The sequence below is a fragment of the Homo sapiens genome, chromosome X, assembly GCF_000001405.40.
Source record: "Homo sapiens chromosome X, GRCh38.p14 Primary Assembly".
NCBI classification, from domain to species: domain Eukaryota; kingdom Metazoa; phylum Chordata; class Mammalia; order Primates; family Hominidae; genus Homo; species Homo sapiens.
In genome coordinates, this window is record NC_000023.11 from 14,444,312 (window position 1) to 14,462,873 (window position 18,562).

The window sequence follows — 18,562 nt, forward strand, 5'->3', positions numbered from 1 at the left end:
AATCACACTGTGCATTAATCTATTAAAGCACTTAATACATTGTGTTGAAAATATAATTTGTTTATCTGCCCCACAAAGAAGACTTTAACATATTTTCTGTCTCAACTGCCCCACCTATTCTTTTTACAGTGGGTCTGTAGGACAGGATTGATCTTTATCTCCTTATTCTAGGTACTTAACATTTTGTGGGTGATAATTCATGTTAAATGAGTAAATGAATGATTCCCGTGCACGTGTAGTGAATGTATATTTCCTCAGAATGTGTTTTGTGTCTCCTAGAAAGAAGTAACGTAATTGAGTCACAGTATTCGTTAAATTATATGTTTTTGGTCTATTTTGCTATTTTATGTATGCCTCAAACTCTAGTTGAGAGCTTCTCTTTTTTATTTAGATAAAAGAAATAGAAAAATTTAGAGGCAAACATTACTTAAACATGAAGCACTGTTTTGATTTAAAATAAAAATTAATTGCCTTCTAAAATATCAAGTTCTGCTTAATTTTAGAAAAAGACTATTTTTATACCTATAATACTTATATCTTCTACCACTTTGGTTTCCTTGAAGTTGCCTATTGAGACTAATTTTAAAAATGGAAAACTTACACTGTCCCTGAACAGAAAATGTGTTCACATTTGAACTGCCTTGAGAACCTCTGTAAGTAGCGGCCACACATATGTGCCTTCTCCAGCTGGTATCTGGTTATCCTTATATGAGGGTGTGCTTTCTCTCCTTCCTCCTAAAAAGATCATTTCCTCCTCCTCCAGCACAAAGAAAAGTTCCTTTTGGTTCATTCATTGGCAAAAAAAGTCTCAATTCCAGAAGATAACAAGATTTAGGGTGGTTATGTGACAGTGATGTTTTAAACTCTAACTTTTTATTTCCTTTGAGTGATAGCTAAGTTGCTGGGCAGAAGGCAGAATTGAAGATGCTCAGTTACGTTTATTCCCTTTTCATGTACTTAAAACCTCAAGATTTAGTTTAAGAATTTCTTTAATGTACATTTTCAGTTAATCGATCCCTTTATAAATAATAATTTAATGTTTTTCTAAACAATGTGTATTCATTATAGAAAATACAGACAATAGCAAAATAAAAGTAATAAAATTGAAATTATCCCTAATCTCAAAACTGTATGCTCATTATGAAAATATAAACCATATAGTTAAATAAAAATAATATTTAAATTATCCAAAAACTCAATATTGAGATAAAACCACTATTAACATTCCCACCTCTCTCTCTCTCTCTATATATATATACATGTACATATATATAGTATGCACATGCATTTTTTAACAAAAACATAAAAATATTGTACATGTTTCTTAACCTGCCGTTTCACTTAATAATATATACTGAACATTAATATTTCCCTAGTTCTTATTCTTCCACAATGTTATTTTAATGGCTAAATTATATTCCATTGTATGATTATATAACAGTTAATTTATCCAGTCCTCTCTTGGTGCATATTTAGGTGGTTTCTAATTTCTTTCCTCATAAACATCATTTTAGCAAACGCCCCCGTAGCCATAGATTTTCAAAGCCCTATGATCTTCCCACTCCCCTACACAACTTAGGATAAATTCCTATGAGTAGATTTGCTAGATCAAAAGATATGCAAAATACAAATTAAATCTTCTCATATGGATTGCCAAATGGCCTTTTCTGGACTTATTTTGATACTTGTATATTGCTTTTTAGTTAAAAGCAATGTGCCTCATGAGCTTATTCTGTCTTTTGTTTACTTCTTATGATCTCTGGGAATCCTGAGGGACATGGGATTTTATGAGCTGTGGTTGTGCTACAGGCTGACTGTGCAAGGAGAGCTGAATCCATGTCAGACGCACACTGGTATCTGCCTTGCTGTGGTTCATCTTTACAGCGAAGCCCCTTGAGCCTTCACTGTGGCCCCTTGGGAAATGGCCAGACAAGAGTTTCAAATATCAAGTCAAATGTCATGCCAGCAATAGCAAAAGGCCCGTTGTTGGTGTTTCAACTTTGAAAAGCCTAGTTGAAGTACCTGCCAATGGCAGACTTCTTGTCCGTTCTTAAGAATTAGATTTTTCACTGACAGCATTTCACAAATGGCAATGTGCTCAAAATACTTGCTATATAGACACTGCTAAAAAGAAAACACTGTAGAGGTAAGGGAGGTGTCATGGTTACTGTAAATTTAAAAGGGAATATGAACACATTATGATCATGGCCATCTTTCAATTATTCTTCCTAGCATGGTGCATTGCTCAATGTAGGTATTCAGTAAACATTTGTTGAAAATTGGATGGATAAGTGATGGATGGAATGTTGTCTGTGATTCTTGATGTGTAGAGATGTTTATGTATAGTTGTGGTACTTTAAACTCTAGTCATGGCCAGAGCACAGCTACCTTCTCTTTCAGTCTCACTTAAGTCTGCAAGAAGATCTGAGTAGAGTTAACATGTGAGTCAGAAAGGCTAAGACCAACCATTATTACAAATATTACAGTTCTGTCAATAGTTGTGAGTAAGGTGAGTGGGATGGCACAATTAGGTCTGGAAAGCTTGAATAATAATGATAATAGTGATGACCCTAATTAATTCTGGAACTTTTGGTGTTTAATTTTTTAGGGGATCAGATTAGCAACAAGTCTTGTGCAATGGGAAATGAGATCAGAAATCTTTTTGGAACCCTGCCTGATCTCTCTCTCTCTCACACACACACACATACACACACACACACACACACACACATGCACATCCACACACACTACTTCTTTGATGCTTTGCAGAATACATTAATTATTTGGCATTTTAAGAAAATAATCTGTGTCATTATCTATTACTGCAAAACAAATAACCCCCAAATTTAGCACCTTAAAACACATTTATTATCTCACAGTTTCTGTGGATCAGGAATGCACATTTGGGTTAACTAGGCCCACTGTCTCCAGGTGTCTAACAAAGCCAGTGTGATTTCAAGGCTTAACTTAGAAGGATTTGCTTCCTAGCTCACTCATCAGGTTGTTGGGCCCATGTTGAGCTGATGGCTCAGTTCTTCACGGGCTTTTGGTCAGAGGCTGTTCTGAGGTCATTGCCATGTGGCCTCTCCATCAAAGCTGACTTTGTCAGATTGAGCACATGAAAAGACAAAAGAGAGAGAGAGTACAAATAAAATGAAAGGAAGATACAATGTTTCATAACCTAATCAAGGAAGTAATATCCATCACTTTTGCTGTATTCAATTTTTTAAAACAAATCACTGTAGTGAGCCAGGACACTCAAAATGAGTAGGTTATACATGGGCATGAATACCAGGGGTGGAGATCCTAGGGGCAATCTTAGAGGTCTGTCTGCCACAGAATCCATGAGGTGTGTGGGTATCTCTGTCTCTGTCTGTCTGTCTGTCTCTCTCTCTCTCTCTCTCTCTCATCTATCTGTATCTCATCTATCTATCAATCTCTATCTATCTATCTCCTCACCTACCTGCCAGATTATGGGAAATATCTGCAGCCTAGACTAGCTTTCTAGACTTTTATCTTTGCAAAACTTATTATTCATTTCTCTAAACATTTCCTTATCTTCTGTATGTTTAGCATCACATTGAGAAGGATGTTATGGCGTCGTTACCAATAGGAACAACAACAAGACCAACAAACTTTTATTAGGAAATTTCTCTATGCAATGAACATGCAAGAACTGCAAGAATATTAAATTCATTCCATCCGTGTTTTCACATAATGAGCCTTTATTGTATATCCCCCATCTATTGTGTGCAAAGCATTTCAGAAATATAAATATGAACATAAATTTCTTACTAAATATTTGTTTAACGTCATTAAAAAGGCCCAGAGCCGAAGCTCATGGGAAGATTCTAGATTGCTCAGCAAAGAGGAGGTGCTTCCCAGTTTGTTTCCACTATATAAGTCCTTCCCCCAATAACTTTGCATAGCAGTGCTGCTGGGCTGACCTCCACAGGTGGAGGAACCTTGAGGGTTAGGCTACACCAGTGGTTATCAACATGTGGTGCTCAACCACCAATAGCAGCATCACCTGGAAACTCCTTAAAAATGCATATTCTCAGGCCTTACTCCAGACTCTCCAAATCAAAATTTCTAGGGGTAGAGCCTAGCAATCTGTTGTAAGAAGCCTTCAGGTGGGGAAAATGAAATAAGGTGGCCCATGAGACGCAGCTGGGAAATGCCTCGCTTACCGAGGGAAACCAAATATAAGGAACATGGCTGTGCTTTGGTCAAGGATAGGTCGAGGTAGGATGTTTATATTCTGCATGACTCAGCGAGTTTGTAGTGCAGTCATATAACTCCACTTGTTATCACAGCCATGTAGCCATAACATGGAAAGGCCATCCCTTGGACCTACGCCACTATTGTCTATAAAAGATATAATTGCCCCGCTAACACTTTACAGGCATGCTTGCACCCAGAGAGAAAGAGAGAGAGAGAGAGAGAGAGAGAGCAAGCGAGCCAGAATTGTCCGTCTTTGCAGATGGACAAGGGGAGCCAGGACACAGCTCAGCTCACTCGTGCCTAGAGAGAGAAAGAGTTAAGCTGCTGACCCTGAAGGAAGAGCCAGCCATGCAGCTGTGTGTGGAAGCCACCGGCTCAAGCAGCTGAGACGAGGTGGACGGTGAGTGAGCTGCTGATGAGAGAGCTACTGAATAAAACTACATTTCACCTGCCTACCCCGCCACCCCACCCGCTGAGCGTTCTTTCAGCTATCTGCTCATTCACCCACTCCCTTCAGACCTCTGCGTGAGCTGGAACCTGACCCTGAGCAGGACATTTGGTGTACTCGTGAACCTGACACCAAAATATCGAGTAAACCATCACACTTCAAACAGATCTTTTGAGAGAAAATACTGAAAGTTGATAGAGAGGAGATGCAGACACCAAAATTGAAGAGGGAGGAAGCTGGGAAGCTTGCACAGAGCTGCCAAGTGCCAGGACTGGCTCCTGATCCTAAGGAAGAGGTAAGTGAAGGAACTCCAGGGAACCACTCTCCCACTGTGGACCTCTGGGATCCTAGCAAAAAGAGATCCCATGACTCACATAGACATTTGAGTTTGCAAGGGGAACTCCCCAGAGGAAGCAGAGCTTAAACCTGTGTGGAGTCCAGAAGGTGTCATAGTGCCAGATGCAGCTTCAGTAAAATGCAGCCATAGGCACCCATCCCCCAAGGCTCTCCATCTTGCTCTGAGTGGCTCTAGCCCTGCTGATGGCCAGGTGGGGAGAAAGCAGAGCTGTCATTCCCACATAACTAGGGTGCACCTGATCCATGTGCCCACTTGCCTGCCATCCCCTCCCAAGACTACCTGCCTGGGTCTCCCACAGGAGGGTGCCCACAGCACAACCTCCAATTCCCTGCCTGAATGTTTTGCCTGCAGCCTGGGAGCAGTTCAGCACCCCAGCCCCCATCCTGTCAGCACAGCCAGTGTTTGACCCAATGGGCCAGCAGACAAAACTGTGGGCCCCATCACAATACCCCAGGATTTGAGCACACTGTCCAGGGGTATCCAGCTGAGATCTGTGGCCTGAGCTGAGGTTGGGGAGGAGCGCCCAGTTTCAGAACACTGAGAAGAGTGTGGTATAGGCTCATGTGCTGGCACAGGAGCTAGCTATCCCTCCCTGCACAAGACCAGTCCAGGAAGGGTGTAGCCTGTCATCCAGCCACAGATACTGCCTCAGGGAGCCCAGGTGTTCCAGGTGACAGTGCTCCCTAGAGGGAGCAGAAGGCTTGGGACAAGTCTAGCTTGTTGGGATTACTCCTGAGGCAGATGCCAGAGAGAGACCTAGTTGGGGGAGCGTGAGCTGTGTGGGCCACACAGATGTTTGCTGGGCTAAAAACCTCAGGCTACAGGTGCCATACAAGTTGCACAGCCATGGCACAAGGGCCCTGCTTGGGGATCCTCCACCCTTGGCCCAGTGCATCACAAGACCACCTGCAGACATACTCCACAACCTGCTCTGACTTTGCCAAGCTCAGAGGACTAGTGGGTTATTGGAGGAGAGTTGCAGGCCTCCTGGTGACCTAACCTTCAGCTCAGACTTCCCCTGAGGGAGCAGGGAGTGCAGCCTGCCAACGCCCCACTTAGGGCTAAGGAAATGCAGGTGTGGCGCCAGTAATTGTAGGGGGCTCTGCCTAGGCCCAGGAATAGACCTGATGAGGGAGTCATCTCTTGCCCTCCCTAGATCACCATTCTATATGCACTGAAATACAAAACAGATGCATGGATAAGTAAGAGTCCATCTGCTTTATATGTAAAGAGATGGCCCTTACTCTTAAGCGCCACTATTGAAAAGGGGCATATTACTTTAAAAGGGAACCCCATCAGGCTAACGGTGGGCTTCTCAGCAGAAACCTTACAAGCCAGAAGAGACTGTGGGCCTATTTTAGCATTCTGTTTTGTTTTGTTTTTTGACACAGTCTCACTCCATCATCCATGCTGGAATGCAGTGGCATGGTCTTGACCCACTGCAACCTCCACCTCCTAAATTCAAGTGATCCTCCCACCTCACCTCAGCCACCTGAGTAGCTATAATTACAGGTGCACACCACCACACCCAGCTAATTTTTGTATTTTTAATAGAGATGAGGTTTTGCCTTGTTGGACAGGCTAGTCTTGAACTCTAATTCACCTGCCTTGGCTGCCCAAAGTGCTAGGATTACAGGTGTGAGCCAACATGCCCAGTCCTATGTTAGCACTCTTAAAAAAAAAATTCCAACCAAAAATTTCATATCCTGCCAAACTTAGCTTCATAAATACAGGAAAATAATCTTTTCCACACAAGCAATCACTAAGGGAATTTGTTACCAGCCTTACAAGAGATTCTTAAGACAGTTCTAAACATGGAAACAAAAGAACATTTGCTGCCATAAAAACACATGAAAGCACATAGCCCACAGACCCTATAAAACAACTATACAATCATGACTATAAAGCAACCAGCTAACAACAACATGATAGGATCAAAACTTCACATGTCAATATTAACCTTGAATGTAAATGGTATAAATGACCCCACTTAAAAGGCACAGAGTGGGCTGGGTGTGGTAGCTCATGTCTGTAATCTCACCACTTTGGGAGGCCGAGGTGGGTGGATTGCCTGAGCTCAGGAGTTTGAGACCAGCCTGGGCAACACGGTAAAACCCATCTCTACTAAAATACAAAAAATTAGCCAAGCAAGGCAGTGTGCGCCTGTAGTCCCAGCTACTCGGGAGGCTGAGGCAGGAGAATTGCTTGATTGCTTGAACCCAGGAGGCAGAGGTTGCAGTGAGCCAAGATCACGATCACACCACTGCACTCCAGCCAGGACAACAGAGTGAGACTCTGTCTCCAAAAAAAAAAAAAAAAAAAAAGGTACAGAGTGGCAAGTTGGATTAAAAAACCGAGACCTAACTATATGCCGTCTTCAAGAGGCCCATCTCACAGGTAAGGACACCCACAGGCTCAAAGGAAAGGAGAAAGACCTATCATGCAAATGAAAAAAAGGGCAAGAATCACTATTTTATATCAGATAAATCAGATGTTAAACCAACAACCATAAAAAAAGGACAAAGAAGGTCATTACATAATGATAAAGGGTTGAATTCAACAACAAGATTTAACTATTCTAAATATATATGCACCCAACATTTTTTTCTACAAAAAGAGGAAGAGCCCAGACGAGATAAGTGAACATTAGTAATTTCATTTTACATAGATTTGGAATGTCATGATGGAAAGAGGGAAAACTAAATGACCGTTGGGTACTATGCTTACTACCTGGATGATGGGAGCATTCATGTCCCAAAACTCAGCATCACACAATATATCCATGTAACAAACCTGCATATGCAACCCTTGAATCTAAAGTCAAAGCTTACATTTTTTTAAAAGAAGAAACCTTCCAGGTGATTCCATTTAAGAACCACTCACTCAAAATATTCCTTCCTCTATTTCACAGTCAACAGTTTTTTTTCTTTTATCCCAGTTGTAGAAGTTTCTTGGATACAAATTTCAAGGTGGGCTTAGCCCCAAATTTCCCTAAAAGTTCTGACTTTAAAATGACCCTTTCTTTGATTCTCTTTATGCTGCCTGTTTCTTCTCTATCCATTTTCATTCTGCCTTCTACATAACCTACTGTACCACTGCACAGGCATTCTTGCCCTGGTCTTTTTGCTAAATGAAATTCAAGAAGCTAGCCATCTCAGGATGGGCAGAGATGCACACATAATCAAAGCATGGACAGAATGATACGAGTCCTAGTAATGATCAAGGTGGAGATAAATGTTGGCAGAATCCAGGGGAAAGCTTATTTTGTTCCAGCTGGAATGGGGAAGGTGTTACAGAAGAGATAGTACTTGATCTGAGCTTTGAAGGATGAGAAGTATTTTAATAGACTGAGAAGTGGGGGGATTAGTGTTCGGACATATACCTAAAGTTAGGTGCAGAGTTTTGTGCTTAGTGATAAGAGTATGCAGGTACAGTGGCTGGAATTTTAGTTTTTCCCAACTTGCAGCATATTCTGTTTTAACCTGGATTCTTTCTAATCTGCACCACCTCCCTTTTAAAAAGCCTATTTTTCAGGTTTTCCTCGCCTTTCTCATCTCACAGATATTCTGAATTTGCTTCTGCCTGAGACTAGCACCTAGCAAACAAATGGGAGTAGACACATTCCTAGCTGATGGAGATAATTTGAGAGTTAGTAGCCTGAACAAGATCATATGAAAGCAATTTCACTTTGGTTCTAGTCCAATAAGTCATCGTAGCAGGTTTATAATCTTATGGATCTGGGTGATGCGTTAAGGGGATTGGTTGGAAAAGAGAAAGAGAGTGGAGTGTTAAGAAAAGTTTTATATTTCCCAAAAAAGGGAAAGAGCCCAGAGGAGATAAATGAGCACTAGTGATCTTGTTTTAGATTTAGAATGTCATGATAAATTATAATGATTCTCAAACAGGGAAGATATTGCCTCTTTGGGACATTTAGCAATGTGTGAAGACATGTTTGATTTTAATAAAGGCAAGAAGGGGTGGAGGGTAGGGGATAGGGCATGCTACTGACATTTGGTAGGTAGAGGTCAGGGGTATGGCTAAACATCCTACAATCACAGAATAGCCCTCCTTCCAACACCAGATAATTATTCAGTCCAAAATATCAATAGGCTGATGTTGAGAATCCTGGATTAAAAGTACATTCAACATCTATTATAATAGATGGGCTAGTAAAAATAGTGACCCATCAAGTGCTGGCAAGGATGTGGAGAAACTGGATCCAATCACTCAGGTGCTGCTAGTGGCAATGTAAAATGATAATAGCTACTCAGGAAAACAGTTTGGCAGCTTTTTATAAAACTAAACCTGCAATTGCCATATCACACAGCAGTTGCACTCTTGGGCATTTATTTATCCAAGGGAAATGAAAATGTAGGTTTTCTCAAAAGCCTGTGCACAAATATTCAAAGCACCTTTATTCATAATAACCCAAAACTGGAAGCAACACAGATGTCCTTCAATGGGCAAATGGTTAAGTAAATTATGGTACATCCATACCATGGAATATTACTCAGCAATAAAAAGAATATGCAATTGATACACACAACAACTTGGCTGAATCTCCTGAGAATTATGCTGAGTGAAAGAGGCCAATCCCAAAAAATTACATATTACAAAATTCTCTTTGTATAACATCTTGACATAAAATCATAGTAAAGAACAGATTAGTGGTTGCCAGGTGTTAAGCGGAGAGGGAGCGTAGTAGAAAGGTGAGTTGGTTTTAAGAGGGCAACACTGTGGTGATGGAACTGTTCAGGATTATGCTGTAGTGATGGATACAAAAGCCTACCATTCTGATAAACTTGTATAGAACTAAACACACCCACACACACCCACACCCACACACCCACACACACACACACACACACACACACACACACGCACACATACATGAGTTCAAGGAAACCAAGGGAAATCTGAACAAATTCAGTGGATTGTAGCTATGTCAGTAGTCTGGTTGAGATGTTGTACCATAGTTTGAAAGATGTTATTATGGAGTAAAACTGGGTAAAAGTACACAGGATCTCTTTCTGTGTTATTTCTTACAACTGCATGGGAATCTACAATTATCTCAAACTAAAAACTTTAAAAAAATGAATTCAGATCCACATAGTTTGAAAATAATAATGTTTGGATTGTACAACCTTTCAGTAAATTATATCCTTTTTATGCGTAAGTTCATTGTGATTTTTGTCTTCTTTTCTCAAATAAAGTGTAAGCCCTCAAGGTAAAAAAAAAAAAAAAGCGTGTCCAACCTTATTGATAATTTCCTAATATCACTAGTTATAAAAATTATAGTGATCCCCTTCCACTGTACCATTTTGGTTGCAAATGCCCCTGTCTGTCCCTCCTACCTACACATGCTTCACTAGGCTAAGTAAACATTGTCTGTTGCCATCAATACAAATATAGCACTTGAAATAAGTTCATCCTTTACTAGACTGTAACTTGTGTCCAATATGCTATGATTCTTAGAACTAAACAATGATATAAAAATTAACCTCATTAGAGACTATAAATATGACTGACATTTAAACAAAATTGAAGTTTTAAAAATAGCTATCCCATTCCAAGTTTTATTTATTCAACATTTCTAATTAATATGTTTCTAATTAGAACTTGATGGACATCACCTATGTAAATGTCAGCCTAATGTGTTTGTTCTTCTGTTAATTTGCTAAATTAAGAATATATCTTTATTACCTTTAAGATGAACAGTGATTTGCCATCCCTGTTGCAGTGGTGCTAGTAGCTTTACCTCAAAATCAGCCACTATCATACCTCTGGTACTAATGAGAATTCAGAGAATGGCCTACCAAAGATATAAAACTTGCTTTGTAAAATGAAGGATATTGCTATTTCTGAAACCATAGAAGGTAGAAAGCAACAGGAGAAGATAAGTTTAGGTTTTTCAACTCTCTTCTGTTTGATTTATTTGACACTTAGAAGATAATTATAGTCTACGTGTCAAGCCAAGATGGAACGAGTGTCAGCATGATTTCAGAAAACATCTGGAAAATCACATAGGACAATGATATTGTGTATCTGTAAAATGTGAAAGAGAATTTCTCTTTATTCAGTGAGCAATATGGTAACTTAAGAAATTATCTGACACATTTTTTTGAGGAAAAACTAAAGGCTAAAAATCAACTTATCTCACTAAAAGTGATATTTGTTTTAAATAATGATTTAGATAAATAAATAAGCATTTCTTGTTGCCCCAAAATATGTTGAAAAATAGTTTCATGGTAGGGATCATTGTCTTGTTCCTATATTTAATGGACATGTCTATATTTTGCTATTTGGAAGAAGTTTGTTCTTGGTTCCTGATAAATATATTTACTCAAATTAAAGGCATAATTTTCTATTCACTACTTACGAATCATTTTATCATGAATTTGTGTTTAATTTTAGCAGATGAATCTGTTAAGATGATTATATGGGTTTTACTTTTTTAATTATGTAAATTGTTTTTTGATATTGATTTATCCTTGAATTCTTTGTGTACCATGTATATTCCTTTAAAATCCACTTTAATGTTCAATTTGCTAATGTTTGAGTTATATTCGTAAATGAAATTAGTCAACAGTTTTCTTTGAGGGAGAGGCATTGTCCTTATCTGATTTTCATATCAGAGTTAGGTTAGTCTCTCAGACATAAATTTGGACTTTTTTCCTTACCTTTGGAATGATTTAAATAGAATACACATGATTTTTATTTCCTAGACGATATGATAACCCTAATCTGAAGAACTATCTGATCACAGTGGCCTTTGTGGGGGAAGAAAGAATCTTGAGAATTTTAAATTTTTTTCCATGGTCTATTAAGTTTTTAACCCTATTTGGTCATATTTAATAATTTTTCTTTTCTTTTTTATATTTTATTTTCTAATTGACACCTAACATTTATACATATTCATGGGGTACATAGTGATGTTTGGATACATGTCATGTATGCTGATCATATCAGGGTAATTAGCATATCCATTATCTCCAACATTTATCAATTCTTTGTGTTAGGAACATCCAATGTCGTCCTTCTAGCTATTTGAATCTATAAAATATATTATCGTTAGCTATATTAGGTCTACAGTGCTACAGAACACTAGAACCCAGTCCTCCCATCTAGCTGTTTTGTATGTATCCTTTAACAAATCTCCCCCTATACCTCCCTTCTCCCTTTCCAGCCTCTGGTGTCCTCTGGTCTACTTTTTATTTCTGCGAGATCAACTTTTTTAAGCTTTTGCATATGAGTGAGGACATGTGGTATTTAACTTTCTTTTTCTGGCTTATTTCACTTAACATAATGTCCTCCAGTTACGTCCATGTTACCATGAATGACAAGATCTCATTATTTTTATGGCCAAATAATATTCCATCATGTGTATGTGCCATATTTTCTTTATCCATTCATCTGTTGTTGGGCACGTAGATTAATTCTATGTCTTGGCTATTGCGAATAGTGCTGCAATAAACATGGGAGGGCAGATGTCTCTATAGTATATTAATTTCCTTTCATCTGGATATGTACCCAGTAGTGAGATTGCTGGATCTTATGGTAGTTTTATTTGTAGTTACTTGAGGAACTTCCATACTGTTCTCCATAGTGGCTGTACTAGTTTAACATTACTATCAACTGTGTAAAAGGGTTCCTTTTTCTCCACGTCCTCACCAACATTTGTTATTTTGTGTCTTCTTGATATTAGCCATCCTAACTGGGATGAGATGATACTTCACAGTAGTTTTGTTTTGCGTTTTTCTGATGATTAGTGATGTTGAGCTTTTTTTTAAATTTTTTTCAAATATTTCTTGGCCGTTTGTATTTCTTCTTTTGAAAAATGTCTGTTAAGATCATTTTACCACTTGTTTTAAAAATTATACTTTAAGTTCTGGGTTACATGTACAGAACATGTAGTTTTGTTACACAGGCATACATGTGCCATGGTGGTTTCTGCACCCATCAACCCGTCACCTACGTTAGGTGTTTCTCCTAATGTTATCACTCCCCTAGCCCCCCACCCCCCACGGGCCCCAGTGAGTGATGTTCCCTTCCCTGTGTCCATGTGATCTCATTGTTCAACTCTCACTTATGAGTGAGAACATGCAGTGTTTGGTTTTCTGATCTTGTGATAGTTTGCTGAGAATGATGGTTTCCAGCTTCATCCATGTCCCTGCAAAGGATATGAACTCATCCTTTTTTATGGCTGCATAGTATTCCATGGTGTATATGTGCCACATTTTCTTAATCCAGTCTATCATTGATGGGCATTTGGGTTGGTTCCAAGTATTTGCTATTGTGAATAGTGCAGCAATAAATATACATGTGCATGTGTCTTTATAGTAGAATGATTTATAATCCTTTGGGTATATGCCCAGTAATGGGATTGCTGGGTCAAATGGTATTTCTAGTTCTAGATCCTTGAGGAATCCCCACACTGTCTTCCACAATGGTTGAACTAATTTACACTCCCACCAACAGTGTAAAAGTGTTCCTATTTTTCCACAACCTCTCCAGCATCTGTCGTTTCTTGACTTTTTTTTTTATTATTATACTTTAAGTTTTAGGGTACATGTGCACAGTGTACAGGTTTGTTACACATATATACATGTACCATATTGGTGTGCTTCACCCATTAACTCGTCATTTAACATTAGGTATATCTCCTAATGCTATCCCTCCCCCTCCCCACCCCACAACAGGCCCCGGTGTGTGATGTTCCCCACCCTGTGTCCATGTGTTCTCATTCTTCAATCCCCACCTATGAGTGAGAACATGTGGTGTTTGGTTTCTTGTCCTTGTGATAGTTTGCTGAGAATGATGGTTTCCAGCTTCATCCATGTCCCTACAAAGGACATGAACTCATCCTTTTTTATGGCTGCATAGTATTCCATGGTGTATATGTGCCACATTTTCTTAATCCAGTCTATCATTGTTGGACATTTGGGTTGGTTCCAAGTCTTTGCTATTGTGAATAGTGCCACAATAAACATCCGTGTGCATGTGTCTTTATAGCAGCATGATTTATAGTCCTTTGGGTATATACCCAGTAATGGGATGGCTGGGTCAAATGGTATTTCTAGTTCTAGATCCCTGAGGAATTGCCACACTGACTTCCACGATGGTTGAACTAGTTTACAGTCCCACCAACTGTGTAAAAGCATTCCTATTTCTCCACATCCTCTCCAGCACCTGTTGTTTCCTGACATTTTAATGGTCGCCATTCTAACTGGTGCGAGATGGTATCTCACTGTGGTTTTGATTTGCATTTCTCTGATGGCCAGTGATGATGAGCAGTTTTTCATCTGTCTGTGGGCTGCATAAATGTCTTCTTTTGAGAAGTGTCTGTTCATATCCTTCGCCCACTTGTTGATGGGGTTGTTTGTTTTTTTCTTGTAAATTTGTTTGAGTTCATTGTAGATTCTGGATATTAGCCCTTTGTCAGATGAGTAGATTGCAAAAATTTTCTCCCATTCTGCAGGTTGCCTGTTCACTCTGATGGTAGTTTCTTTTGCTGTGCAGAAGCTCTTTAGTTTAATTCGATCCCATTTGTCAATTTTGGCTTTTGTTGTCATTGCTTTTGGTGTTTTAGACATGAAGTCCCTGCCCATGCCTATGTCCTGAATGGTATTGCCTAGGTTTTCTTCTAGGGTTTTTATGGTTTTAGGTCTAACATTTAAGTCTTTAATCCATCTTGAATTAATTTTTATATAAGGTGTAAGGAAGGGATCCAGTTTCAGCTTTCTGCATATAGCTAGCCAGTTTTCCTAGCACCATTTATTAAATAGGAAATCCTTTCCCCATTTCTTGTTTTTGTCAGGTTTGTCAAAGATCAGATAGTTGTAGATATGCAGCGCTATTTCTGAGGGCTCTGTTCTGTTCCATTGGTCTATAACTCTGTTTTGGTACCAGTACCATGCTGTTTTGGTTACTGTAGCCTTGTGGTATACTTTGAAGTCAGGTAGCGTGATGCCTCCAGCTTTGTTCTTTTGGCTTAGGATTGACTTGGCAATGAGGGCTCTTTTTTGGTTCCATATGAACTTTAAAGTAGTTTTTTCCAATTCTGTGAAGAAAGTCATTGGTAGCTTGATGGGGATGGCATTGAATCTATAAATTACCTTGGGCAGTATGGCCATTTTCACGATATTGATTCTTCCTACCCATGAGCATGGAATGTTCTTCCATTTGTTTGTATCCTCTTTTATTTCATTGAGCAGTGGTTTGTAGTTCTCCTTGAAGAGGTCCTTCACATCCCCTGTAAGTTGGATTCCTAGGTATTTTATTCCCTTTGTAGCAATTGTGAATGGGAGTTCACCCATGATTTGGCTCTCTGTTTGTCTGTTATTGGTGTATAGGAATGCTTGTGATTTTTGCACATTGATTTTGTATCCTGAGACTGCTGAAGTTGCTTATCAGCTTAAGGAGATTTTGGGCTGAGATGATGGGGTTTTCTTAATATACAATCATGTCATCTGCAAACAGAGACAATTTGACTTTCTCTCTTCCTGTTTGAATACCCTTTATTGCTTTCTCTTGCCTGACTGCCCTAGCAAGAACGTCCAATACTGTGTTGAATAGGAGTGGTGAGAGAGGGCATCCCTGTCTTGTGCCAGTTTTCAAAGGGAATGCTTCCAGTTTTTGCCCATTCAGTATGATATTGGCTGTGGGTTTTGTCATAAATAGCTCTTATTATTTTGAGATACATTCCATCAATACCTAGTTTATTGAGAGTTTTTAGCATGAAGGGCTGTTGAATTTTGTTGAAGGCCTTTTCTACATCTATTGAGATAATCATGTGGTTTTTGTCATTGGTTCTGTTTATGTGATGGATTACGTTTTTGATTTGCGTATGTTGTACCAGCCTTGTATCCCAGGGATGAAGCCGATTTGATTGTGGTGGATAAGATTTTTGATGTGCTACTGAATTCGGTTTGCCAGTGTTTTATTGAGGATTTTCACATCAATGTTCATCAGGGATATTGGTCTAAAATTCTCTTTTTTTGTTGTGTCTCTACCAGGCTTTGGTATCAGGATGATGCTGGCCACATAAAATGCGTTAGGGAGGATTCCCTCTTTTTCTATTGATCGGAATAATTTCAGAAGGAATGGAACCAGCTCCTCTTTGTACCTCTGGTAGAATTTGGCTGTGCATCCATCTGGTCCTGGGCTGTTTTGGTTGGTTGGCTATTAATTATTGCCTCAATTTCAGAACCTGTTATTGATCTATTCAGGGATTGGTTAATCTTGGGAGGGTGTATGTGCCCAGGAATTTATCCATTTCTTCTAGATTTTCTAGTTTATTTGCGTAGAGATGTTTATGGTATTCTCTGATGGTAGTTTGTATTTCTGTGGAATCAGTGGTGATATCCCCTTTATCATTTTTTATTGTGTCTATTTGATTCTTCTCTTTTCCTCTTTATTAGTCTTGCTAGTGGTCTATCAATTTTGTTGATTTTTTCCAAAAACCAGCTCCTGGATTCATTGATTTTTTTTGAAGGGTTTTTTTTGTCTCTATCTCCCTCAGTTCTGCTCTCATCTTAGTTATTTCTTGTCTTCTGCTAGCTTTTGAATGTGTTTGCTCTTGCTTCTCTAGTTCTTTTAATTGTGATGTTACAGTGTCGATTTTAGATCTCTCCTGCTTTATCGTGTGGGCATTTAGTGCTATAAATTTCCCTCTACACACTGCTTTAAATGTGTCCCAGAGATTCTGGTACATTGTGTATTTGTTCTCATTATTTTCAAAGAATATATTTATTTCTGCCTTCATTTCATTATTTACCCAGTAGCCATTCAGGAGCAGGTTGTTCAGTTTCCATGTAGTTGAGCGGTTTTGAGTGAGAATCCTCAGTTTAAATTTGATTACACTCTAGTCTGAAAGACAGTTGTGATTTCTGTTCTTTTACATTTGCTGAGGAGTGTTTTGCTTCCAATTATGTGGTCAATTTTAGAATAAGTGTGATGTGGTGCTGAGAAGACTGTATATCCTGCTGATTTGAGGTGGAGAGTTCTGTAGATGTCTATTAGGTCTCCCTGGTCCAGAGCTGAGTTCACGTCCTGGATATCCTCTTAATTTTCTGTCTCGTTGATCTGTCTAATATTGATAGTGGAGTATTATAGTCTCCCATTATCATTGTTTGGGAGTCTAAGTCTCTTTGTAGGTCTCTAAGAACTTGCTTTATGAAGCTGGGTGCTCCTGTATTGGGTGCATATATATTTAGGATAGTTAGCTCTTCTTGTTGAATTGATCCCTTTACCATTATGTAATGGCCTTTTTTGTCTCTTTTGATCTTTGTTGGTTTAAAGTCTGTTTTATCAGAGACTGGAATTGCAACCTCTGCTTTTTTGTGCTTTCCATTTACTTGGTAGATCTTCCTCCATCCTTTTATTTTGAGCGTATATGTGTCCTTGCACGTGAGATGGATCTCCTGAATAGAGCACACTGATGGGTCTTGACTCTTTATCCATTGTGCCAGTCTGTGTCTTTGAATTGGAGCATTTAGCCCATTTACATTTAAGGTTAAAATTGTTATGTGTGAATTTGTTCCTGTCATTATGATGATAGCTGGTTATTTTGCCTGTTAATTGATGCAGTTTCTTCATAGCGTTGATGGTCTTTACAATGTGGCATGTTTTTGCAGTGGCTGGTACTCTTGTTCCTTTCCATGTTTAGTGCTTCCTTCAGGAGCTCTTGTAAGGCAGGCCTGGTGGTGATAAAATCTCTTAGCATTTGCTTGTCTGTAACGGATTTTATTTCTCCTTTGCTTATGAAGCTTAGTTTGGCTGGATATGAAATTCTGGGTTGAAAATTCTTTTCTTTAAGAATGTTGAACATTGGCCCTCAGTCTCTTCTGGCTTGTAGGGTTTCTGCCGAGAGATCAGCTATTAGTCTGATGGGCTTCCCTTTGTGGGTAACCTGACCTTTCTCTCTGGCTGCCCTTAACATTTTTTTTTCCTTCATTTCAACCTTGGTGAATGTGACAAGTGTCTTGGGGTTGCTCTTCTCGAGGAGTATCTTTGTGGTGTTCTCTGTATTTCCTGAATTTGAATGTTGGCCTGCCTTGCTAGGTTGGGGAAGTTCTCCTGGATAATATCCTGAAGAGTGTTTTCTAACTTGGTTCCATTCTCCCAGTCACTTTCACGTACACCAATCAAATGTAGATTTGGTCTTTTCACATAGTTCCATGTTTCTTGGAGGCTTTGTTCATTTCTTTTCACTCTTTTTTCTCTAATCTTGTCTTCTCACTTTATTTCATTAATTTGATCTTCAGTCACTGATATCCTTTCTTCCACTTGATTGAATCAGCTGTTGAACTTTGTGTATGCTTCACGAAGTTCTCATACTGTGGTTTTCAGCTCCATCAGGTCATTTAAGGTCTTCTCTACGCTGTTCTAGTTAGCCATTCATTTAACCTTTTTTCAAGGTTGTTAGCTTCCTTGTGATGGGTTAGAACATGCTCCTTTAGCTCAGAGAAGTTTTTTATTACCGACTTTCTGAAGCCTACTTCTGTCAACTTGTCAAAGTCATTCTCTGTCCA

General features: G+C 39.1%; 1 protein-coding gene across 1 annotated transcript in view; it reads left to right on the forward strand.

Annotated features, from left to right (window-relative positions):
* Positions 4,468-18,562, forward strand: part of GLRA2 (glycine receptor alpha 2) — a 283,034-nt gene continuing 268,939 nt past the window's right edge. Inside the window, exon 1 of the mRNA XM_047441999.1 lies at positions 4,468-4,967. The gene's annotated coding sequence lies outside the window, so the exon portion shown is untranslated. The remainder of the gene's footprint in view (positions 4,968-18,562) is intronic.